Source organism: Homo sapiens, chromosome 2 (genome assembly GCF_000001405.40).
Source record: "Homo sapiens chromosome 2, GRCh38.p14 Primary Assembly".
Taxonomy (NCBI): Eukaryota; Metazoa; Chordata; class Mammalia; order Primates; family Hominidae; genus Homo; species Homo sapiens.
The window spans coordinates 163,595,249-163,622,026 of NC_000002.12; the positions used below are offsets into that span (position 1 = coordinate 163,595,249).

At 36.0% G+C, this 26,778-nt stretch overlaps 1 protein-coding gene across 3 annotated transcripts in view, besides 1 other annotated feature; it reads right to left on the minus strand.

Moving 5' to 3' along the window:
• Window positions 7,363-26,778, minus strand: part of FIGN (fidgetin, microtubule severing factor) — a 133,398-nt gene continuing 113,982 nt past the window's right edge. For 2 of the 3 annotated variants that reach the window (NM_001321825.2, NM_018086.4), the window contains one exon: window positions 7,363-16,558. In NM_001321825.2, coding sequence (NP_001308754.1) covers window positions 14,304-16,550 — 2,247 coding nt within the window. In that variant the 5' untranslated portion in view covers window positions 16,551-16,558 and the 3' untranslated portion in view covers window positions 7,363-14,303. Of the gene's footprint in view, window positions 16,559-17,080; window positions 17,337-26,778 lie in introns of all 3 variants that reach the window. The other variant, XM_047444863.1, reaches the window with a different exon arrangement.
• Window positions 26,276-26,777: an enhancer, noted in NCBI's record as "NANOG hESC enhancer chr2:164478034-164478535 (GRCh37/hg19 assembly coordinates)". NCBI's record gives its function as "activates a minimal SCP1, AML or CMV promoter by ChIP-STARR-seq in primed H9 embryonic stem cells {active_cell/tissue: H9 hESC(primed)}" and the evidence as "EXISTENCE:reporter gene assay evidence [ECO:0000049][PMID:30033119]".

Sequence of the window (26,778 nt, forward strand, 5' to 3'; positions counted from 1 at the left end):
TGAATGATTCAGTTACCAAGGGAAGCATGTAACATTTCAGTATGCTTGTGTTGTAATTCAAAAAGATGAGAGCAACAGCACAGGGCATTGCAGAGCAACCGCTGTAAATAGGCTAATGCCTGTACAAACTGTTAATTATGAAACTGGTGAAAAGTTAAAAGGAGATTCCAGTGAAAACTTTGATCAAAACATACTCGGCTTATTTATTGTACTTAAGTGGGTTAAAGAATCTCAGTGGTATAATTTGCTTAGTTTTCATTACCAATTAAAAAAAATTCCAAAGAGACAGAAAACTGAAGTCTTCATTTTGACAAGACAGAAATGCTTTAAAGTATATTCAAATGTGAATCCGATTAACTCAGCAACAGTTTTAATTACAAACAATTATATGTTCCCTTTGGCTACTGGTCATTTTCATTTATAATGCCATTGTCCTCCTTAAGTGCAAACTCTAAACACTAATGAATGTCTGAGGGACTACAGTTAGCACACATTTGTAGACACTAAGCAAACATTTGTCTTTAAAAGTAAGTGAAGTAGGACTTAGTTTACAGAAACTATCAGTGTGGGGCAAAGCAACATAAAATAGCACGTTATAGGGACTGACAAAAAGTGAGTATAAGATATGAATTTGTAACTTAGAAAGGAATCTACTCATTTTGACATATTTATTCTTTAAGCTGTGAAATGTAGTACAGCATTATTTAGAAAGGCAGTACAAGGTTTTTCTTCCATCAGAACAATATTTTCTAAATGTATATTTTTGCTTATTATTTTTTACTTAAAATACTTAATGGAAAAAATTGTGTAAATTCTGAAAAAGATAAAAAAAATTGAAAAGATCTTTACAATTTCCCAGAAGCAACATACAGCTGAAGTCATATTTGATTCTAGCATAGTACGTAGAAAGGAAACAAATTATTTCTGGTAGCATTTTTTGCATCACTGACTACTTGGTTAAATCAATTGACTTAAAATTTTCCATTTGGGTTTTCTTCTTTTCCTCTTTTTTGGAGGTGAGTTTTAACTGTGCTGCCTTAACACACACTTAAAAGAGGAATCACACATACCTTTTGACTCTGCTGACCCTTCATGCTCCCTCCAACTCCCATCATTTCTAAAATGAAAACAACCACAACAACTGATCTCTCAAGTTAGCTGAATATATCAGAGAATCAAAGGCAGTAATGCAGATTTCTCAACATAATATCCTGTTTACCTTTACTATGGAATTGCTTTTTTGTTAAGTTGCTTCCTTCTAGGAAATGGAGATAATAATGTACCTAACTCAAGAGGAACATGGTGGGGAATAATTGCAAGTAAAGTTGGCACACGGCTCTGCAGAATATACCTAATACATGTAGACTGTTTTCACTACAGAAAAAGAAAAAAAAAATCAAACAACTATAAAAATTTGACTAAGAGTATCAGTCTGATAGGTCAAACCTGAAGTCCAAAAAATTCTGCCAGCCCATACAGTATATTATGTCGCTCTCGTCTTTTAAAGACAACTATCATAGATTCTGAAAAGTGCCTAACAGTAGTCTCCATGTTTAGTCTCTGTGACACATATATTTGGTCAACTGAGACTTTAGGCAAATGTGGTATCATGGTAAAAAAAAAATACAGCATTTTGAGTCAGTAGAACTGAGTTAAAATTCTTACTTCATTTACTGTCTTTTCCATTTTAGATACATTGCTAAGCTTCAGTTTTCTCCTCTGCAAAATGAACATTTACTTGACAGGGTTGTCGAAAAGATTCATTGAAATAAAGCGCTTAGCACTGTGCCAAGTCCCTAATAAATGTCTGGAAATATTAACTGTTGTTCTTATTACTATAAATATGGCATCGTATATTCACCTTTTTATATATCACATACCTGTGATGATTTAAAATTGACATTTTGCTTCAACATCTTTCCTTAATAAGAATACTTTGAGTTGTGAAAGTTACATGTTTTTAAGTAATGTAAGCTAAAATTCATTACTTCATGGTGTGTGTGTGTGTGTGTGTGTGTGTGTTTAGTTACAGTAGGAAGATCCATATTTACTAATGTATTCTTATAGTATAATCCATATTTTCAAGCATGGAATAGATTTCAAGCATTTATTAGATTCTATTTTTTAATGTTAGTATCATCATAAGACATTGTAGTAATAAGAATATTACCTATTTTTTTTTCTTTTGAGACAGAGTTTCACTCTAGTCACTCAAGTTGGAGTGCAGCAGTGTGATAACTGCTCACTGCAGTCTTGCCTTGCCGGGCTCAGGTGATCTTTTCACCTCAGCCTCCTAAGTAGCTGGGACTACAGGCATGCGCCACCACACCTAGCTAATTTTTGTATGTTTTTGTAGACATGGTATTTCGCCTTGTTGCCCAGGCTGATCTCAAACTCCTTGGCTCAAGGGATCCACTCGCCTCAGTCACCCAAAGTGTTGGGATTACAGGCATGAGCCACAGCACCTTGCCTCCTATGTATTTTTCTTTTCACTGGTTTGTTAATTTTTATTTGACTTTCTGACATCAAAATAATTAGACTTTCATTTACTGAGACTGGATATCTATAAATAATAAAACTTAGCCTTAAAATTTTGGATCCCCAACCGAACACATTTGTTTACTGGATTTACCATTTCAAATACCTTAAAATTTTGTTCAAATATCACTGACATATAACTAAACTCTTTGAAACTCTTTGGAATTCTGTAGGTAGGAGAGAATAGCTTGGAAGATCCCCATCAGAATTGCACTTACCAAAGCATTTGAAAAGGGCATTTAACTTCAGCTACTACTCCTCTTTTACCTGCCCCCACATTGTTGATTGTCACAATAAGCAGTCTCGTCGCATTGGTATTCTGAAGCTATTACACATTTTTATGAGTTTGACTTTAGAGAAAATAAAAATATTGGACCAATTACATAATAAAAATAAAACACCATTTACTCAATGATGAAGTCCATTTAGTTCTGTTTTCTCTGACCTTCCTCACTCTGCCTCCCCCATTTCTTTCAACCTTCTTTAAAGTTCAAAACCGACTAGAACACCAGGAAGAGTAAGTAAAATATAAAATGTCAGGAATGTGATGAATCCACCTCCCAGAATTGGTATCATTGACATATATGTTGGGTCATTTGAGATTTTAGACAGTATAGGGTTGACTCATCCAACATTTTCAAGAATATTCCAACCTAATTGTATGCATTCTATCTTTTAGGAGGCCATTACCTGATCATTTAGTCTTATTTATTAGAGGGGAATTATGTTTTCTAAAAATAAATGAAATGGTACAGATTTAGATTCACCAACTTTACAAACCACAGTAGTAGAGAACAGGTAATTGAAACTGTTCAGCATTGGTCAGGAAAGTAACCAGCACTGGGTGATAATGTAAATCTTACTGTCAAGAAGAGTTTAACCATTCAATTTCAATGGTTAGGAAAGAAAAGTTTGTCATTTTGGCTGTTGACTTGAATATTCCCTACTTAAAATAAAAACTATTCTAGTAAGGTATTGTTTCATTTATAATTCATAATCAGGCTTAATTTTAAGTCAGTTAACTAGCATTCACCAGAATCCTTGCAGACAGAGTAAAAATATGTTAGCTTGTAACAGTTGGTAAAAACGATTTTCTAAGGCTCATGATAACCCCTATGAATGATGTCTTTATTATTTCCTATTTATAGAACTGTGTAGATAAAATGCATTAAATTGAACTAAGAGGATATTTAGTTGCCGAATACGACTTGTATATAGATGAAGTCTTAAAACTTCCTCTTGGCATAATTAGAATTATTTGGCTAGGTATCATGTGAAATGATTATATAATAGTATTTTACTATAATATGAATATACCTATTATTGTAACTTTATTAGCTGTGCTATAGCTTCATAACTATTTTTACTTGCAAATGTTTTGCTAACAATGGACTGAACTTGACAAAAGGGTGAGGGGGAAAAAGAGGCTTTAAAATACGTAGGCATCATCTTTTTAGCACATTGTTGGCTTTTATTCACTTTTATGACACTTAGCAACATTTAGTGAAGATCTTTGTTTCAAATTGAGTTGCACAGCATTCAGAGGCAAACTCAATTGGAAATCCAAAACTTTCTGCTTACTTAAATTGTCTAGGGCTAAGAAGGTATTTCTAACAATGATTTAGAATGATTTAATTAAAATGATGTTTATAGCACTGCTTCCCTTTACTTTCAAGTTTTAGGTGATATTATAGCTAAGTCACTTTTAGCTCACTGAGAGAAGGACCAAGGTGACACAGCCCCAGATATTTTCTTAAATTTCCCACGGAATTGGAGATCTGTTGGAACAAAAACTTTTCCACCCCTCTGCCAGTGGTCCTTAAACCAACAGCTTTGGCTTCATCTGTGAATGTGAGAGAAATGTAAACATATGAATCCTACTCTATCTATTGAATCAAGATCTCTGGGGGTGAGGCCCAGGAAACTTTGTTTTAACAAGCTCTCTAGGTAATTTTTATGCATTGTTGAAAGTTTGAGAACCACTGCCCTAGGCCAAGGAAATAAAAAGGAAACAGACATAAAGTAGGCTAACATCGAATGAGGCTGGAGAGTGAGCATTGTGTAGCTATCTTCTACTATCTCCAGTTATAGCAAACAGCCGTTTGCTTCGTATCCTATAGTGTTCTTAGAGTGTTCTGTAGCATCTCAGTGATGGTTTAAAACTACATAAAGTGTGTTATGTGCATGTTGCGGAGGTCAGGAATTGTAATAAGCAGGTATGCAAAGAGACTAAAAAAAGTCTTTTAAATACGTTTGAAAAAATAGAGTACGAACATTTAATTCTTGGATAATTTCCAATTACTACAATTTAATAGCACTCAATTGAAAATAATATGGTCTTACGATCAGTAAAAATCTATGTTGTAAAACCATATTAATAGGGTGAGACAGAAATGATGAGACTTTTACGCTGCTTGTTTCTGAGAGTATTTGATAAAATAGCAAGCATTATGATAAACACATGTACCATTTTTTCAATATGTTCAAATGATATAAAATATTTAGTTTTATTTGTGCAGAAACTAATAACAGTCATTGTGTAACATGAGGAAGCACTTACTCTGTTCATGTTTTAAACAAGGCAAAGCAGACAATTAGAATACAGAGAGCAAAAAAATAGAAACTGCACTCCATTTAAGACACTACCACTGCAGGCTTAGCAAATTATGTCATTGCTGCTAAATCCAAAATTGTTCCTTTGCCACTGCCTAAACTTCAGAAGTTATTCATAATTAGAAATCAAGATTTCCCTGTGCTCTTACACTTGATTTGGCCTCATCCCACTCAATAATTTTGTGATTTAATTCCTCACTATTAACGTCTAAAACGGTTTTCTTAGAACTAAAGATTACTTTTGTAGTCTTTGTATTACCTTTAAAAGAGCTAATGCATTTGTCCTATTTCTGATTTAAAGTACAAAATGCCTGTGCACCACTTTTCAGATGCAATGTAAACTAAATTCCTAGTTGTCAGATTCCATGTCTCTGAAATGTGGTAGACAGAGACGGAATCATAAAATCTGCTTATATAAACAATATGTTGGGGTTTTAATTTTTATTTTAAAGCATAACATTGTGAATAAGTAAATTCCATAAAATCCTAGTAGAGCAAAAACACCAGTGAAGATCGCAAATGGAGAAGAGGTTAAACCGTATTTCCTCTCCCTGTAAATATTTGAAAGCAGTTAATTTTATAAGTTCGGAATAGTTGCCCTATATCCACAATAAAAACATGTCAGTATTTTATGTGAATTCCTTAGAGTTAAATATACAGGCTGTGCTCATGGCCTGGGGGGCCAGGAATTCCAAACACTGAGGATGCTAGTCATTTTTACCTTTAGCTTGGGGTTTCAGAGAAGGAAGTCTTGAAGTCCCCTCAAAGTAAATAGGAAAAATGGAGATTTCCTTAACAAGGTAACTCCACAAAAGAAATCACACACACACACACACACACACACACACACACACACACACACACACACGAACTAAATCTTTAATTCCTAGATATATGTTTTTACATTTTTGTAAAAATCTAAATAAAATTGCCTTTCTGAATGCAGGAATTTATCAGTCTGTTATGTCGAGTTAAAATTTAAGGCTATTTTAAAAACAATCATCGTGAGCCCAATGTTACTATTATGACCGTCTGAGGCACTTTTAAATTGTAGGTGTCACTCACATTCATACTGAAAACATGGTCTACACCCCTACCAGCATCTTTCCTATGCAAATGACTGCAGATTGAAACACTCATCAATAGGTGCTATAGTCTGCAAATAGTTTCCTTGTCGGCTTGGCAACTGTGTGACTCATGCTGTCCGACAAGTGAAAAGAAAACCGCAGTCAGCAGCTATTCAGCAGCAAATCATTAATTAATTACATTTTAATGAACCTTAAGCGGCTACTGCGGGAGCCTTCAGAAGTTTATCAAAAATGAAGAATTGCCTTGTGTAAATCTTGAGCTGACTGAAAAAATTCAGAGGGCCTGAGGGTAACAGTTCTATGTGATTTCCATATATCTACTAAAACTTCATAGCTTTAGTAATGTTAGTATATTAGCGTTTTATCCTAGGAACAATCCATCCTTGTAATTTCAACACCTGTTTGCCACCTTTCTATCTTTTCCTTCTTTGCCTTATTTTTTGTATTTAATAAATGAAATAACATCTCTCTAAAAAATTACCATTGAAAAAACATCCAGAACTTGAATCTCAGGAGTATAGACTGTACGTAATTTAGTAAATAATGATAGAACTGGTTACCTAGAAATATGCATGTTTTTCTTCCATGGTAATGAGTTTGTCCTCTAAAAGGTATGTCTTAATATTGGTGTTTCTCCACTCATTAGGTTTACGGTTAGCTATCAATAGATTCAGTTTCTGAACTGAGAAAATATTTATGGAGGCCTCTCTATTTTGAGTCTGACCTTCAATTATTCTGCCACCTCATTTTATAAAGCAGTGCTTCTTCACATGGGAGGACAATAGCATCTTCACGAGGGGGAAATCTTAACAGTCCCATGCCAGAGGATTCAGTCATTTGTGAGTTGAGTGTAACTCAGCCTCTAAATCAATGGCAGCTTTGCCAAGTGTTCTACCTTTTCCTTTGGGAACACTGCAAATCAAGTGACAGCTCACACTTCAGCACCGTCTAAAACTGGACCCAGTCAACAGTGCCAAGTTTTCACCAATATCCTAGGGACTGTGTGTTTATTATTTTGCCTTTATAATCCAAAACAAAGATTTAGCTTCTCATTTCTGACACTATTGCTAAGGGTAGGGGAAAAATGAGATAACTCGGGTTCATGATAAAAATCAAACTGCAATTTTTTTAACTCAGAATTTTTTTTTATTTGAGGTATGCTTGTTCTTTTCTTATTCCATGATAGTAGCATAGCCATATACAACAAATTTTACAATAGAGAAAACTTTTCATAAAAATATCTGCCTTGAACCACATTTTTAATTCTTCAATGGTTACTACTGAAACTAGTTATTCTATATGAAAACTTAATTTCCCTGTGGTAGCAAGTATTTATGAAAAGGAATATTCAGTAGGGACAGTTGTTACAATACTGAGCACTGAATTTTTTTTTAATATATTACAGTGCCAACACCCAAGAAAATGAGATGCAATGGATTACAATTGAAACTGCAACAATGAGGACAAAAAGCATTTTCAGATCTCCAAGTTAATTGTACAGCAGCTTCCTACACACATATGATCAACCATATAATGATCCCATCAAAATAAAAAAAATCTAAGCAGAAATGTCTCATTTACATTAATAATGTTCACAAATTATATGAATTCATTTTGCAAGTGATGGATAATTTAAGCTTTCATCATCTAAAGCTTGTCATTTTTTTCCAAGAGAAATGGATTGTTTCATTTTTAATGAGTGCAATAATAACACATTTAGTTTCAGCAGATGTAAAATAATGCACACAAAAAAATGATTTGAAATTTGCAGAACAAATAAGGAAACAGTACTAGAATAACCCAAAGAAACATGTACTATATAGGGCTTTTCTTCTTTCAAGGGGTCAAAATCTGGTCAAATCCAGCGTATTGTTTCAATTTAAGCAAATAAAATCAATATGGTCAGGGAAGCAAAGTGCACAGAAATTTTAATTAGTTAGGTTTCTTTTTCTTTTTTTAAATTTCTGTCTCAGACAAGTACTGTTGGCTGACAAGAAATATGGCATTCCTCACCTAATACAGTAAACAAATAAAACAAAACAAAAACCCTCTCTTAATCACTACTAGACAGCCTCTAGACAATACATTCCTGCAAGGAATTGTAAGTGAAAGGATTGGATGCCACTTTGTTAATGAAACTTAAAGAATAGATTGTCAGGCATACCGGAGTTTCAGATGCATTTCTGAATTCACATCTGTGGGAGTTGTGGATTGTCACAGTTCATTTGCTTTTGTAAAATATCCACAATTTGCTGACAAGCAACTTCAAAAGTCCATTCATCGATTGGGTGGGTGGTGAACCCCTTTCAGCATTTTTTAAAACTAAGTGTTCTTTTGCTACTGTAATATAGAGCTGGTGAAGAAAAAGAACGAATGCTAAAATAAATAGTATAATATAAAACACTTCATACAAAGTAATTCAATGTGCCATTAGTTGTACAATTGCTTCAATAAACAAATACATGTTATAAAGGGAAATCAGAAACAAAATGCTTTCAGTTATGGAACTTGCAAGCACCATGACTCCACGTTTGTTAATTCCTTTGGGAAGTGCCATTTTTAATTTTTGGTTTATTTTCAGTGTTGTGCAGGCCCTTGCAACTGCATTGTTTTTCTTAATTTATATCAGGAGTCACAGAATTAAAATGAAGGCATTTTCAATCACTGAAGACTATAGTTGAAAATAGTTAAGTACCATTATTTCTCTTAAATTTAGGAGCTGAGGGTGTCAGTCAAAATATAAAAATGTTGTTTGAATTTGTTTGTCTTAAGTAGCCAGATTGCCAGTGTAAAATACTTGGGAATGCTAACACATTTCTCAGAGATGGGCACATAGGAATAAAGCTCTATTCTGTATATAATGTCCCAAATGGGACCTCGATGAAGACCTACACAGTGCATAATTTCTTTTAAGTTCTTTTAAGCAGTCTTGTGTTATGAATACAATTAAAAGTCCATCAGTATCCCAAGTACTCGTGCATTATCTACCCTGCCACACTTCACTAATGCGTCTTATCATTTAGGTTGCTAATACTGTTCAGTGTAAAGACAGTCTTTCTGAGGTAGACTGTTCAAGTTCAAGGACAAGTCTTTTTCTTACGAAATGCATGACATTCAAAAAAAGACAACAAATAAATACTACATGTACAATATGTAGCAATGAGGTAGAAATGGTTATAAAGAACAATGTTTGAATATACATCAGATGAAAAAAGAAAAAAAAGAAATGAATATTCTCTAGCAAGTGTATATAATCCACAGTGGAAACTCATACACACACACACCCACATACAAGAGAGAGCGAGAGTTAGAGACAGAGAGAGAGAGAGAGAGAGAGAAGAGAGAGGAAGAGGAGAGGAGAGGGATGGAGAGAAGAATGGTTGGGGAATGGGGGTAAAAGAGAGAGAGATATTAGAGGGAGAGTTTTAAGCCCAGAAATAAACTTTTGCTTTTTTTTTTTTTTTTTTTGTATCATAAGACAACAAGAAGGAATGAATGTGCTCCCAACCTTGGTGTACTACAGAACCATTTTATAAATATTTAACATTCTATAGGACTGATTCATATATTCTCACACAACTCTGTGGCAAGGCTGACCCATGCTGCCGACATTCTACATATCACTGAGACAGGGAGGTGAAATTTTCCTGCTTCCAGTCTAATTGTCTTTGACAATTGCAGTGCCTAGTGCTACACTGCTTGTGTTGTATTTAAAAACAGGGGAAAGAGGAGAGACTTGTTCATTAAAGATGCAGTATCCCTGGTTCACACAAATGCATCTGGCAGGTTCAAAATCGAATGTCAACCAAAGGTCTTAGCAAAGTGTGAGCTTCAGTTCATGTGTTGGTTAGTCACAAGTACAGCTGGTTGTGAATTCTGAAATACTAATAGCTCCAGGTTTGCTAATGTGCTTCATATAAAAATCGGCAGATGATTCAACAACTGAAGGCTTTACGTTTCAAAAGAAAAAAAAACACATTAAAACACTTCAAATTGTAACATGATCATGTGTATCTCTGCACATATGAAGAAAGGAAGTAACAAGTTGCTTCTGAATAATGAAAAGTAGACGTCTGTTTTAAAGTTCAACTAGGTGGTGATGAAAGAACACACACACATACACACATACAAACACACACACTAATTTTATATTTATATATATATATTAGAACTTTACTTTAGTGGCCTCAATAGTTCAACAAGCTGCGTCCCTTTCACTTTGCAAAATACAGATTCAATGATCATGCTACCCAATTCTAAGAAACATGAGAATGTGAGTACAGAAGTCTCTTTCTGCTTGGAGTTGGATACATTTTTAGAGAAAGAAATTCTAAATGTCTCTAAAAACGTATTTTCCAACCCACAAATATATTTAAATTTACAAAGACCTATTATAGGAACTAATTTGGATTTTTTTTTTTTTTGGATGTGTTCTTTTGAAAACTGCATAGCCAAGTACTATGCAACCCATGTAAATTGACCTTGCTATTTTACATAGCATAGCCTCTGGATAGCTTTTATCACTTTCCCAGATGGTGTTTGGCCTATGTATTTTAGTGGAATGGTTTATTTTCTCCTTGATAGGTTTCAAATGCACAAGAAAACATTATACCCGTCTATCTGCATTTGAGTAGAATACAAACTGACTAATAGATAAACATTCTGTGTGAAAGTAAATAGCCTTAAAGTATACTGCCTTCACATTCCATTGATCAGCTCAGTCAGCAAAGTTTTTCATATTGTCACTAATGTTCTAAATATTTGGGAGAGAAGCATGCCAGAAGTGTAGAGTATTTCCATTTGTGTCACATATAAGGTCATTATGAACTACCTCTTGAATTTCTATTGATCCCAATACTGAAGTGGTTTCCTTCACTTCCTTTTTGTCCCTGTTGGAAATGTTGCTGCAGTTGGGAAGAAGGGAATTAGGGGCTGTAAAGTGGAATGGCTCAATCTCTTAGCCAGACAGTGAGGGATTTGGACTGGCTCATTACCTTACCTTCATTAATAGCCTTCTCCAAATTCTTAGCAGTCAAAAAGAGGCCAAGGGTATGAAGCCCCATTACTCAGTTGTACTATCACCGACTGTACACATTCACTTCTGAGGATGTGGTACCCCACCCCCACTCCAAGTTCCAGAATAGATGGTCAGAATAGAGCTCATTATTAAGCTAGTTTATAGAAGAGCTCATAATGCTGCCATGCAGAATCAAAGAATCACAGGAGAGCACTATCTACTCAAAGGTCAGCCATATCTCCTCCAACAGATCTTCATTTCTTCAACATGCCCAATTTCCTAAGAGATCAAATCTTGGATTTTGTGAGGCTAAATGAAAATCACATACGACTTCAGCTTCTGTCTAAATACATGGATTTTTGACCACTTGCATCTCAAATTAATTTTTAAGTCACTCAGAGTTCTAATTTTTAAGTCACTTAAAGCTAAAAGCCAAGATGTATGACTTCAATTTATTTTCAGTTTTATAAATGAGTGTAAAACACAATAGTGCAGTCATATATTTGGCATTAAATCTTACTAGCCACAAAAAAATGTGGGTCAATATTGGATTTTCCAAAGTTGTCTAAATAAGACTGGGTTTGTCAAAACTTGCCAGACGCTTTCAAGTGAACACAGCATGTTGGCGGAAATGAAATATAATGTCTAAAAGTCAGAAAATAGGTCAGCACTGTGCAAAAGTAAACTTGTCAGTGAGATCAATATGAACCTACAAGTTAATGTGGATATTAGAATTTCCTTACAAGGGATGCACAGGGTAGACCCAGAACACGATTGTAGCATTTATTCACTTGCGAAAAGCAGAGGGCGTATTTAAGTATTATTTTTTGTATCCTTAATGAAAGGCACTGCTTTTTAATATGGAATATTTATATTTAAGCACAGCTTTAATTGACAGAATGTCACAGTAAATTAAATTCTGGTTCAATTGCTCAGTTTTTAGCAACATAAAAAATAAAAAAAGGGGAGTAAAGATCAAGCATCATAAAATTTCAGAGATAAGAAATCCCTCATGAGCTTTCTCTATGTTAAGTGTTTCAGAGAATTGGATATTGTGGATAAGATCGGTAAAAATTTTTGTAAGAAAAAAAAAACAGAAAGGCCTTTCTTGGGGCTTCTCATTGCATTTATTTAAATTTTTTTAAAAATGTACATCACTTATTTATTGAATACATAAAATGCCAGTGCTTTGCAACAGTTTTGTTACTGCATCTCTAAACTAAAAAAAGAAAAGGGGAAAAAACCCAGGAAAATACATTCAAAAGGCCAGGCTGTTCTGCTTATGCATGGGCAGTGGCTGTGGAAAGCTACAGCCTGCTCTGTGACAGTTCAGAAGCATTGCCAAACATCAGCCCACTATCAATGAAAGGTTGCACATAAAGCATTAAAGGATACAAAGAACAACTTGACAGAGAGCAGGAGAAAAATAGGAAATTAAGAAAAATGCCACTTATGCCATGGGTAGGGGTGGGGCTGGTAGACTGAGGTGGAAGTAAGCACAAATGCTGATGTCTTTGGAAACTAGATTTACGGTGAAAGATGGAAGAAAACAAAGTAACATGTTTGGCAAGCTACATTGCAGTGTGTGTGTCCACTTCCAATTTTCTACTTTACTTTCCAAGAGAAATGTAACAAAACTGAGGTAGAAATAAAGCAGGAGCACTACAGCCCAGATTTCAAAATGAGAAGCAAAATTGCACTGACAAGAGTGGAGTCAAAAAGAAGGGGAGGAGATGGAGAGGTTCTTTGTGGATATATATATGTGTATGTAAGTTGGTTTGTTGGTTGGTTTTTGTTTTTATTTATTTGTGTATTTGTTTTGGTTGCTATCCTCTGCATTCTATCAAACAGCACGGCAAGTCTATAAGCTAGATTAGTGAATAGAATGACACCATTCCCAGCAGTTTTAAGAGATAACTTGCAAACTACCACCACCATCACCACCACTACCACCTATGCAATAAAAAGGCAGTCATAGTTTTTAGGTACTGTGACTTTCAGGGTCCTAAACAGGTCTTGTGGCTGACAGGTCTAGACACTAACACAAACTGAATAAGTAGCTTTCAATTAACCAGTGTACCTTTTAAGAACATTTTCACTTAATTATCAAGGAGCAATGTACTAAGAACTCTTGCAGTTATTGACATAAAGAATTATTCTGCTCTGGTTAATTCCCCATAATTAGTAAAAGAACTTAAAAAAATCCTTCCATTTCTACTTTAAACTGTAAATATTCAGTTGTATCACACTTCAGTATTTTTCTGGATACATTCAAAGTAATTTTCCTTGCTATTTTCCAATTGTTGAGGTAAACATACATTTTAATATAAAGTAACATTGAAGCCTATCCTATTACTCTCAGCAGTACATAGTGCTTTCAACACATTCCTTTGAGGTACTGTACAAATCACAATCACTTTCCTGAGTTTTTGCAGACAAGAACATTAAAAGAAATGAACTGCAGAAATTAAGGTCCAGATTACCGTTACCCTGTTTTACCTGTTCTTAGCTTAATACTGCAGAACAGACAGGATTGAGGAATACTGTTGCTCTTAAAATGGCAAAAATCTGGTTTTCTGTCATAACACAACTGTTCATCTCTTTAGTCCAATAATGTTTGAAGTTAAAGCTCTTTATATTAGCACATGCCACCAATGTAATTGTGAGGCAAACAAAAAATAAAGCACCACTCCAGGCACTTGACAGCAACTAAATCTCGAGAACAGCAGAATGGAATCAACACACGAGGTTCATGTCCTTCTGAAATCAACACACTTGCACCTTGCTCCTTGGTGAGTGTTGTCTAGCTTGAACAGAACTGAGCATCCACATATGCTTTCTGTCATCTGGGGCTTTCAAATCAGAAGCTCTCATTTGATGCACTTTTCCTCCAAATCTACCCTGACTCTAAAGATGCAACTTAATCGTCATCTTCCCCAGTACCCTTTGCAATTTAAACTCTACTGGAAAGGGGCTCTATTCCCTATGTAGCAGGTTTTATGTGTGTGTGCCAACATTCATTACATTTTTTTTTTCTAAAGAAGTTATCACTGACTGCAACCAAACATTTTGTTCCATTCAACATACATATCAAGCTCCTTTTGAGATATGCTAGGCTGAATCTTGCAGAAAGCATTTTCAAAGTCTTGATATGTAACGGGCCTCAACTGGCTGGGCATAATGGCTGAAAGGTCTGTGGCTGGCATGGCATGGAGGGGGCCCACCACTGCTTCCTGACACAAATGAGCCACATCTAGTCCAGAAAAGCCTTCTGTGCGCTGGACGAGCAGTGCAAACTCCTTGTCATTGAGACAGTAATTGTGCTGTGAGAGCAGTTGTACTATTATCTGGTGCCTCGCTGTGCTGTCAGGAAGTGGGATTAAAAGTCGTTTCATGAAGTACCTCCGAAGGGATTCATCTATTTCTTCTGGTTTACTGGTGGCACAAATTACTACGATTTGGTCCTCAGCCGAAGTTAGTACAGTGTCCAGTTGCATCAGAAATTCGGTTCTCATCCGACTGACTGGACTATGTTCCTCATTCACTTGAGAGGAGAGAAGCATGTCAATGTCACTAACAAAAATCACCGAGGGCTGGCGACACCTGGCCACAAGAAAAGAGGCATGGATAATTTTCTCTGCTTCTCCTAACCACTTGGCGACTAGTCCAGAACCGGCAATTTTGAAAAATGTGGCCCCCAGCTGACTAGCGATGCATCTGCCCAATAATGTTTTGCCTGTCCCCCGAGGTCCAAATAAAAGGATGCTCCGAGGTAAGGCCGTCAGTCCACTGAACGCGTCTGACCTCAACACTGGCCATAAAACCTCCTCTTTAATGACAGCCTTCACCAGGTCGAGACCAGCAATGTCATTCCAGTCCACTGGAGGTCCTTGGGTGATAATCTCATTGGTTACCAGGTCGATGAGGTGCGTGTCAGTATTCTTCAGTTGCTCGTCCACAGAGTGGTTGGATGAGGTAGCTGCACGGAGTCCAGGGCCTTGCATTGGGTGAGAGAGGAGCTGCCTGTGCTCGTCCCCATGCTCACTCATTACTGGCGATGTGTACTTCCCAAAGGATTCACTGGATCTTGATCCCAATGAATTTTTAGCAGTACTGTAGGAAGGAGGGGTCAGAGCCCTACTGGACTGGCTGCTGAATTTCCTTTGCTGTTCAGAGGACATTAGCTGCTTCGTTGGCTTAAATGCTAAGGATGATGTTTCAGCACTTCTGTCAAAGCCATTCCCCCGATTTGTGTTTGAAATGCTGTTGTCGGGCATTCTGTACATAGGACTCTGTGTAGATCTCTGTTGGCCATAGCTGTAATTTCCATAACTGGAGTCCATATCTCCTTGCCCTGCCATGTAGAAAGCTTTCCTTTTGAGAGAACTTGCTGAACTGTTTGTCAGAGCCGACGGTGCAATAGGTGTCAAACCATGGCCCTGGTAGGTGTAGCCAGGAACAGTGGTGGGGGGTAGGGGGGTGGGAGCAGGAATTCCTGAAGGCAGGTACGCTGAAGGCGGAGGCGGTGCCCCCCCAGGGCTGTACCCAGACCCCACAGCAGTCTGAGGAGGATAGCTAGCAGACGGATAGCTGTAACTGGAGAGGTTAGAAGTCCCATTGTAGCCTGGGACCAAGGCTGGTGGCGGAGGAGGTGGTGGTGGGGGCTGTAGTAGCCCAGAGCTATGCAAAGGAGACGGATGAGGTGAAGGAAGTGCAGGTGCTGGCTGGCTACTATAAGTAGAATGCAAATATGATCCGTTGTATCCTGGGGCATATTCCTGAGATGGGAGCCCTGCATGAAGACTGGGTACAGTGTGGCTTCCACAGGTACTACTTGAATAACTAGGTTCTGTCAGGTTGCTGGCTACCCCAGGAGAGCTTCCTATACTCGCAGAGACATCTGCTGGAGGGAGGGCTGAACTGACTCCAGCTTTGCTGGCAGTGATAACATCCGGAACACAGTTCATGGGATAAACAGCTTCTGAATTCAAGGAAGGCTGCCAGGGTTCACTTTCATTTTTCCGACCGTTCACTAGTCCTGATGGTGTGTCCGAATAGTTGCTGAGTACGGGTCGGTCCACAGGACCTTCCAAAATGCCGGAATACTTCTCTGCATATTTTTTTAGTAGGTTGGATGCAGTCAGAGCAGATATGTCATCATTCGCCCAGGCGTACTGATAGGTGCGCTGCAGATGACCTCTGTAGGCTTCAACTTTGTGGGCAGGAGACCGAGTGGTTGAGGTGATGTCAAAGTGCTGTTCTGGCCACTGGGCATGCTCTGGCGTCCACTGCATCTTCAAGCCTAAGAATTTTGGGGGGAAAAGAGTTAATTTACTTAAATAGGCATCAGAACTCTTAAAGCTTTTCCCCCAATTTCTTTTGTTACCTATTATTTTCCATTAATGATATGCATACTTTAAAAGATCTACACTGTTTATAATACCTATTATGATCCCTATAATAAGTACTCTTTAAAATGGACTAAACTTCAGCCCTGTTTAAAAAGCACACTGAGTTTAAAATATAACTCTGTAGTTACCTATATTTTTTGCATTTGTAAGGAATAAGTAAATCTATTTCTGTCAAGCCCATCAGCTTACCTACTATACGCACATACACAATCACATATATATGTACACACACATTCCTGTCAAATTAGAATTCAATCATAGGTTCTTAAAATAAGCAGACATTTTAAATATCTTGCACATGGCAGTATTAACATGTACAATATCTAGCTATTCTGTCTGTTCACATCACAGTTTGTTTTACATTTTAAGCAATATAAAAATGAGACACAGCTGACAGATCACATCTAGGATACCTCTCTTATTTGGTACTGAACACCTAGTTAGCACAGTATAATGCTCCCTGCGCAGAACAATATGACACAGACATAGCAGGTCATTCCATAATCCAACTCTCATCTAAAGTGGTCCACGACAGTTTCAAATCTGCTTCGTGGAGTGCAGCAAAGCAATCTCCCAGGCAGCGCTCCATCGCTTTCATCGCACAAAGCCTACAACTCGGTATGAATTACAACTGGCTCCTTTCTGCCTCTCAGTTCTGTTGTTGAGTCTCTGAAAAAAAAAACAAGCATCACTTGTCTGTCGGTCTTCTAGCGTTCTCCCTCCTTCTCTTATAATCCCTCCTCCCCTTACAGCCTGCAAGGTACTAAGAGGGGAGAATGTGTGTGTGTGTGTGTGTGTGTGTGTATTTATACACATCCTGTCTTATACATCTTCATATATATATATATATATATTATATATGAGAGAGAAAGAGAGAGAGAGAGAGAGAAAGGAAACTGAGGGGAAAGGGAAGATAAGAATGGAGAGAGATTCTGGATTCTAACTCTTTCAATTTCTATAGGAAACCACGTAGGGCATACGCTAGAGGAGTACAAGTAGATAATGAGATGGTCTGGGTAATTCTATCATCTGCTGGGTTACTAAGTGAAGCAAAGTTGACTATGTAGCAAACTACAAAATGAGCATTTTCTCATTTAAGAAAAAAATACTAAGCAGTCAGAATAATTTGAATTTTAAATTGTAAAGAGACTTTAGAAATTACTTTATTTCACAGATTAGGAAACCAGGGCCCAAAGCGATTTATAATGTACCCTCGAGGTCTCACATACAGTTAGTTACAGAAGAGGACTGGTACCCTGTTCTCCTTTTTCCCATTGCTGGCTCATCTCAGTCTAATCTCTGCTTGGTTTAACACTTCCTATTCTGGTACAGCTATATTAAGCATCTCTCCTTCATCTTTTTTGTATTACCCAAAGTGAATTTTGCAAACTGTCTTGTGCCCTCTGGCAGAGATGCCTTGATAAGGAGGAGGCCTGGTCTACATGAAGCATCTGTGGCATCAACCCCCTTCTGAATTACTACAGTCTATTTTGTCAGTTTCTACCCCCTTCTGTGCTCTTCCTCCAAGCTCTGTGGCTCTTCATTGCCTGACTCTGGCTTCTGACATGGCCGGCTCTGACTTACTGCGATAAACTGAACATAACACACAGTTTGGTAACAGAATGGCATGTTGATTCCCTTCTGACTCCCTCTTCCTTGTTTGCAAAACCACTGCACCAGACACTGGAAGTTAATTAGCAGGATGATGCTGTGCTAATTGTGTTAATTTACAAGGTTTTAGTCAAAGAGAATCATGCCAGGGCTGGCACTGCTGTCATGCTTCCGACTTAATGATTAAGAAATACTGAAAACAAGGTGGGAAGGATTGCAGTAATTACACAATAAATGAATAAAGCAACAGGATTCATTTGCAAATATATTTTACTGCAATTGTACTCATTTGCATTTTGATTTTTAAAAAGGATCCATGTAGATATTCATTTGCAAATCACAACTCAGTTAAATTAAGTCTGAATGCTGCACAGTGTAACTTAATCAACCTAAATATATGTATATACATATTAGTAAAAATTCTAAAGACCTCAGTTCTCTTGTACATGCAACAGATTCTTTCTTCAATTTCCCTCAACTACCCCCAAAATTCATATTTATGTTTTAAAACTTTATATATTATTAAATAATCTCATTGAATGGGAAAATAGTATTATAAAATCCTGATGAAATGCAGCTTGCATCATTTCACTCAGAGAAACTCTGAGGATGAGTTCCAGGGAGAACTAAAGTGGTATTCTTAATTATTTCTGCTTTCTCAATCATTACTTTTTAAGGGGGAGGAAAACACACCGCAAAATGGGTGAAATGACCGAAACCACACTTAAAGGGGAAAAGCTGCAATTTTAATGAAGCAGCATTTCAGGAATCATACTTTCATTAAATTCAACTGGAAATTATTAAGAGCAAATCACCAGGAACCAATCGCAAGTAATCAGTATCTAAATGCTTCTAGTGTCGTGGGATTTACTTCAAGCCTTATAAAAAGGAGAGAATATTAATGTGACTGTAATGTAGAACTGTCTAAGAGACCTACAAATTCATTAGTCCTGTAAATTATTTCTAGGGAATTTCTATTATGGTTCTTTTCTTTAAAATATTATCAAAATACAGAGTAGAGAAAATAAGAACACACATATGCTGTGAGTATAAATGTGATTAGTTTGATACAGAAAAACGTGAAAAAAAAAGTCTTAAAGGGCTCAACAAATAATTTAGAAGTACAGGCAATGGAATTTAGCACAACACACACACATACGTACGCACACATAAGTTAAAGGACGGCTTCCTTTCAGTTTGCTGAGCTAAGCCATTGTTAGCATAAGTTAATAAACATACATAACAAATATTATAAAGAAATATACTTTTTAACTCAAATGAAACTGCTTATTTTTTTAAAAAAACACAGGAGGTGGGAACCCCCCACCTGTATTAGCTTAAGTAATGTTTTCTTGTAAATATATTATTCATACAAGAGATGAAAAAATGATTTTAATAAGTTATAATCACTGTAAAAGACAGTAGTATACAGTTTAAATAGAGTGTCCATTTCATAGGGTATTTTTGCATGGTTTAAGTCTAGCAAAACTAAATTTCGTAAGATTTCTTTTTTACCTGAAATTAAGCAAAGATCATATTTATCAAAATTATCTATTTGGAACAATTACTGGATACACCATTGCCTTTTGATTGTCATGCTATTTTTGGATGTGCTTACAAGATAATTGAAAGATTATTTATTGATGCATAGTAAATAACAATAACCTTTGCAGAGCTGCAAAAGGCAAAATTGTATTTTGTTTAAATACAAGGCAATGGACTTGTTCATATCCCCTGAAACGAGAATTTATCCAGTGCTTTAAAATCATTAATGTTATTTAAAAGCATAAGCTAATCTAACCACAAACTAATTCTTGATATTAGCAGGAGCTGAGGAAATCAGTGTTCAGGAGATTGTCTTGGCCTTCGAAGTACAGAGCCTTTTGGTTGGTTCCTTGAATTTTAACACTAACTGGAAATTGGTAACCAAATTTATTTTTTTGTTGTTATTGTTATTGTGTTTATTGGTGGTGCTATTTCTGATATGAAATGGAACAAAACCACAGAGCCAAATGTTTTCTGAACAACAAAAACATCCTGCTTTGTTTGACTGTATTGCAATTATGTGTGAGTCAGAAGCAATACACCTGTGTCACTTAACTTGGCACTCAAATAATGGGTTGAGTTTTAAAAACAGCTTTTATATGGTTTCTCTTCAGAACATGGAGATGGATCTCAGAAACAATACTATTTTAACATTATTAGAAGCATGACTTTAGAACAATAACTCCTACTGTTGTTTGGAAATAGTTTAAATAGGTACAGTAAAAATTCAGAAAACAGTGGAAAGTAAGAAAAATAGTTTTTAAAGATAATTGAAGAATTGTTGCAAAACATCAATTTTTACTTTTGAAAGGATCAGAAAAATCTTAATACAGCTGGCAAATTTCATCATGCAACGTGTTTTTTGAAAATACACAATCTAATAGAAAATTGCTTTTAAGATAATTTAAGTGTTACATAGGAATGACAGGTACTAGAGTAAAACATCTGAGCATTGTTCTTATTTTATTGTTATGGGATGACTCCATGTATATATAAATGAACAAATCCATATTTCCTATATAACTGGATAGTACGGATAACATTTGCCATTCTTACCATTACTGACCATTTGATAACTTAGGTTTAATTACTAACCAGTTACTGCCTTGTTGCTTTACTTTTTCCATTTTGCTCTTTAACTAGTTTCGAAACAAAACAACTATAGCATCCTCTGAAGTTCTGCCACAGCTATAAAATTTTAAACAGTAATATAGAAAAATGAAGGGTATAAAAGCAACTTTCAAAATGAGAGGAAAATTGGAAATAAAAGGTTAGGTCTTCTAGAATCTGTTTTTAGCATATATTCATAGAAATATCAATGTGAGGCACTCACTACCCAACCCACTCCTTATATACGTGTACTATTCAACAGTTCATCAGGTCTAAAATAGTTACTCCCTTTTACAATGTTCCCATAGGGTAATTTTGGCTGCTAGGGGCTCTGCCTTCATTTGTAGGTTTTCTCAGACTTCCTAAGGGCAGGGACCTGAGGCAAACACCTGCAGGCATGGCAGGTTTGCCTGCTCTAAAACAGATGCATAGCACTCACACAGGCCTGCATGACAACATTACTACACCTATTACATTTCTTTGAGCTATTGCACCTCTGAACCTTTCATTATTTTTTAACATTAAAAAAATTAATATAATATTAGCAAGGGTTTCTCTGAAAAACAATCACTACTGGGGTAAATACTGTAAAGTAATTATAATACTTTACAGCCTCTTCTTTCTGATGCAACAGATTTATCATCTCTTGGGTTGGAAATGGCAGAACTAACATACAGAGCATTCAAAATTTCCAGTAGAAAGTAGAAAATTCATTGGCTAAAAATACAGGTCTATGCAGTGAAGAACCTTCTGAAAGAAGGATTGTACACCTCCTGGCACTGCAAACTGGCCCTGTGCAATATCTACTTATTATCATTCTTCAATGGGAGTGATGACCAAATGAAATGTTTGAGGAGACTAATGCAGCCTTGTCTACTCATCCTCATAAGCCAAGAGGCCAACACAGCATTATCTAGTATTACTAGTACTAACTCATTTGATCTGGAAATTTCTTCAGCCCATTCCCCGATCATTCTTGGCTTTAAAATATGGCATAAAATCTACAAGTAACAGAAAGGGAAAAAAGTGAGGAAGAAGCACTGAAATTACGTATCATTTTTACCTAATTTTGTTCCATCTTTAGAGGACCAAAATTAGAAGATTTTATAAGCTGAATGTAACAGAGGGGCTGTCAAATTTTAAATTTAGTCAATAAAAGATGAACTATGTACAAAGCATTGTGGTTCAATGCTAAAAAGGAGGATCCATTTTCTATAAGGTGATGAAACCTTTTCAACTCTCTTTTTCACAATTTCACAGTCTAAATTCTCCAAAATTAGACTCTTTGATTTTAGAGATTAACAGAACTTTAAAATGACCTAACCATTCCAGACATCCTCACTTTTCGATTGATGTTTCACTTATAATGATGTCTTATAGGATTGGATACTATTTTGCATAATATAGTATTTTATTTGGAGCCATTGATAGATTGTTGGGATAGAAAGGGACTGAAGGAACATAAAGAAGGTTCAAGAATTTTGTTTCACGGTGAAAATTCCAGCCTGTAGAATAAGACCACTGGCAGCATTGCTTACATCATCACTTATTTATTCTAATCTTGGTTAAGTTGCTTAAGCACATCATACTCACTCAGCTGTGATATGTGGACAATAATGGTATTATTTCACCTTACTGTATTGCTATTAAGATTACCTGAATAATATTTTGTGAAACTATTTCCCAACTGTGAACTGCTACACAAACATTTCTTAGTATTCTTTTATTTTGAAAAGGCCAGGGGTGCATTAAAGACAAAACAAAACAACACTGGCTAGACAGAAAAAAAGTAAAATCACTCCCAGAATTTATAAGTCAGTTTTCCTTCAACCTCAGGACAGCAACTGTAAATGAAATTTTCCAGTGGGACTGTTGGTTCCAAGAAAGATACAGAAATTCTCTCATTCTGAGCAAAACAAAGAGCATAATCTCTTTAATCAAAAAGGTGTCAACATTTTCAAATGTTTTCAAAGTATTTTATTTATTTTTGATGTTTCCTGTGACTCAACATTTTAGAGATTAAAACTAAGAAATAAAGTACTTAGAGGTTGAAGACTAGTTAAAACTCATTTTAAAACCTGCAGTTTCAAAATAAGATATTCTAATTATATAACAATACTGTCAAATACTTTTTTCTCTTTAAATCATATTTTCACACCTCAAGACTCCAAATTACAATACATTTTGCAGCAGCCTTCTCAACCCATTCCATTGTATTTGCATAAAACAATGCTTTTTTTTTTTTAAACAATTATGAAGGCATTTCTGGCTAAATGGGTCTTAGTAAATATAGTTCAGATACCTCACCCTCTTACAGAGAAATTGCAATCTGACAGCCTGAGGGTAACATATACCCTGCAACTGTGTTTGGTTTGGCCAGCACAGGGCTTTAAAAATCACTCGACTTTATGTTTTAAAAGATCCGTCTCAAAAAAAAAAATCTGTATTTCCATATTTCCCATTTTTCAGACAAGATCTTACAACACTTCATTCGTGCCTGGCAACAGCTGTCCGATTCTGGGGACCAGCTCCCTCCTTGGGGCATATCCTACCCTTTCCACTTTGTCATGGTGCTCCTACCCCCTGACAATGTCAGGTATTTTCATGGTATCTACCAGGTCACACAGGCATTTAAATTTAGGACTCCACTTTAGAGCTTCAACTCCAGTTTCTTAACTTACATACCTTTTCTTGAAATCTAGAAAGTATTCAGCTCTAAAAGTTAAAAACATTTTCCAAATACTTTTTTTTATGATAAGAGAACCTCCCTACCCTCTTACAACACAACACGTGGGAAATAATTGATAACTTTCTTATTGATACAGTGTCATTAGTACAACAGTGTGGAATGATGAATAATGAATGGTATCTTAAAAAACTGGTCTCAGATGCTGTTTCAGTGTTCCCCCTTTTGCTCTAATTTGTCAGATATTATTTTTTGCTATTTTCCTATCCATTTTCACCATTCCTAATGTGCTGTATGTTTGATACCACAAACCAAAGCTTAATTTAACAGTGAGTGAAGCATCTCCTATTAGTTGAATACACGAGCATTAGTACAACTTTTATAAGGTTATTTAAGCTACTCCAAAGTTATGCTTCTTATTTCCTACAGAAAGTTGTTGGGTAGATGGTACGCAGGTAAGCAACAGATCTTGTTGTCTAAATGTCTTTATTTTGGGCTTCATAAAAGCCTGTATTTAATGTTACAGGCACCATGACTTGGACTAGGATGGTATTAATATATACTCTGTGTTTAAACTAAACTTGTAGGTAGCTTATGATCTGAATTGGGTTCTCTACAATGCATTAAATTGTATCCATAGCAAGAAAATATTCACCCAACAAATATGACCAAGTGTAACGGTGACTATTTTTGCCAAAATTTCATGTGGTGGATAAAACTTGATATGCATGGGTCTGATTGGTCATTATTTTTAATATGCAATAAAATGGCTTGCATTTATGAGAATGAATGCATAAGCATTATGCAAAGCAAATTACAGTGATGAAAGAAATATCATTTTTAGACCACTGAGCCTAGATTCACTATATGATCAGGACAGAAACCATATCATTTAAAGCAACCCAGGAAATCATGATCATAATTCAAACAAGTAATTTTTCCCTTAAAATTTCCTATACTTAAAGTATACAAGTGAACATATTATCATGCTCACACACAAATCCACATAGTTTAAAATTATAACTTAGATCTATGATTTCTGTGTGGGGGTAGGGGGTAGGTTTTGTAAATGTTTCTGTGTAAAATTTTTGAATAATAATCTAAAACCAAGTAAAAAAAAGTGTACAAAACTGTGTATATTCTATGGTAAGTTATTCAGAAGGATACATGAGGATGCGTGTACATGCAATTTAAAATATACAAATAATTCACACTCTGAATCTTCCTAAGTGTCAGGTGTCATTAACTATTGTAAGGGAAAGAGTCTGAGGTAAAAGGGCTGATTTTCCCATATTTAAAAACTGTTATTTTGTTTATGCTACCTCTGTGAATTTTAGACAATTTATAATCAGTTTAAATAGCACTTTGTAGTTAACCTTTAAAGTTGTTACTTTGCAGCCTTTCATTTCTTATGCCCTCTCTTTCCTTTTTCCGTATACATTTTTCAATCCATTAAGGCCATCTACCCTTCCCCCCAGATCATCAGGACATACCACGTATGTCCATAGGGACTGCAGTGGCTAATGAATATGTATGTTCTGTGTCACAACAGAGCACTACCCTTGTTCTGCAGTATCAACCCTCTTATGTGTGTAAATAACAGGTGAGCTGTAGCATGCAGGGATAAATGGGGTTAACACAACCTGAGAGCCCCATGCTATATTCATAGCATCCAGCCTGTATGATTGATCCATAAACAGAGTACTAAATGCCAAAAGTATTTTGCATTTTCTGAGTGTTTTGAATCTTTATTTTTTAAAATATTTTGCAGAGATAATAATTATCATCATCCTAAAAGTCTGAGGTTATTCCAGTTGATTCTCAAAATACTGTTTTGCCGTACAAAATATATTTGCATTTTTATTTAAGAAACATCTGGCATGATACCAACCTTGAATTATGACATGGCTAGTATATTTCATCAATCATAATCCTAAAATGGTATACTAACCACTAGGTGCACATATAACTCTGTGTAAATATTTGTGTGTGTGTGTGTGTGTGTGTGTGTGTTCCATTTCAACTATCTAAATGCAAAGCCCAATTTAGTTATATTTAAACTGAACTCTATTCATGTTTTGCCCAACACACCAAGCTGAAAACGGTCAATAAACAAATTAAGAAATCTTCCAAACCCCACAACCTTGCTTAAAATGAAATTTGCATTCATCTACTTCTCTGTGTTCCTCTGGAACCATACTCTAAAAAGACAGTTTACATAAGACAAAATAGATATATAAGTCTGCTTATGTAAGATTGAGCACTGTCTCATATAATTAGACAAAAGAGTAAGAATGTTATTCACATGTTGAGGGTAAAACTGTTCAACCATTCTCCTTAAAAACTTTGCTTTAGGTGACTCTAAAGTATGCAAAGCCCAGACAAAATTTGTTTGGGTTATTTATGCATTTTTCTCTTTTTGGCAATTCGTGCATTAATTTTTAATGCAATAGCAAAATAGTGTCTTGGACTTCGAAAAAAAATTCTATAGTCAGGGCTGGGTGACATAGTGCATTAATTCAGTGTCCTTCACTCCTGGGACCTGTGTATAATTTAGTCCAGCCTGAAGAAAATAACTTTGATATGAAAGTAGTGGAAAAAGCTACATATGAAATGAGTTTTGGTAGGTTACGTGTTGTTTTTTTCCAAATAAGACGTTGTAAGAAGATAAACTGATTTAGAATACAACCAGCACAGCCTAGGATTAAAAGTGAGAAGCTCTTAGCAACAGCAGTAGTTTCCTCACCTCTTCATTTTCCCCACCCTGCCCCCTTCTAGTGAAATAGACCTGGTGAAATAGACCTGAGCACCACGTATAATTGGGATCCTCTGATTTCCAGATAGACTGAACATTGTTAAGGTGCAGTGTGAACGACGGTCCAGTCATTAGCGCGGTTGGCTCTTTCATTTGTAAAAACAAAGAATGCTGCATAATGAGCAGAAACAGGAGAGGATATCAGCATCTTCAAAGGAAGTGGCATTTCCTTTCCTGGAGAGGGTGCCCAACAACCTAACCCATGGGAAACAGGAGGAGAGACTGCAAGTAAAGAAATTGTTTCTTGAGATCCCATCTCTGCACAATTTCATCTACTGTTATGATGCAAAATGCCATTATGTTAAAAAAAAGTTTAGGCTTTGGCTGAATTCAATAAATGGCTG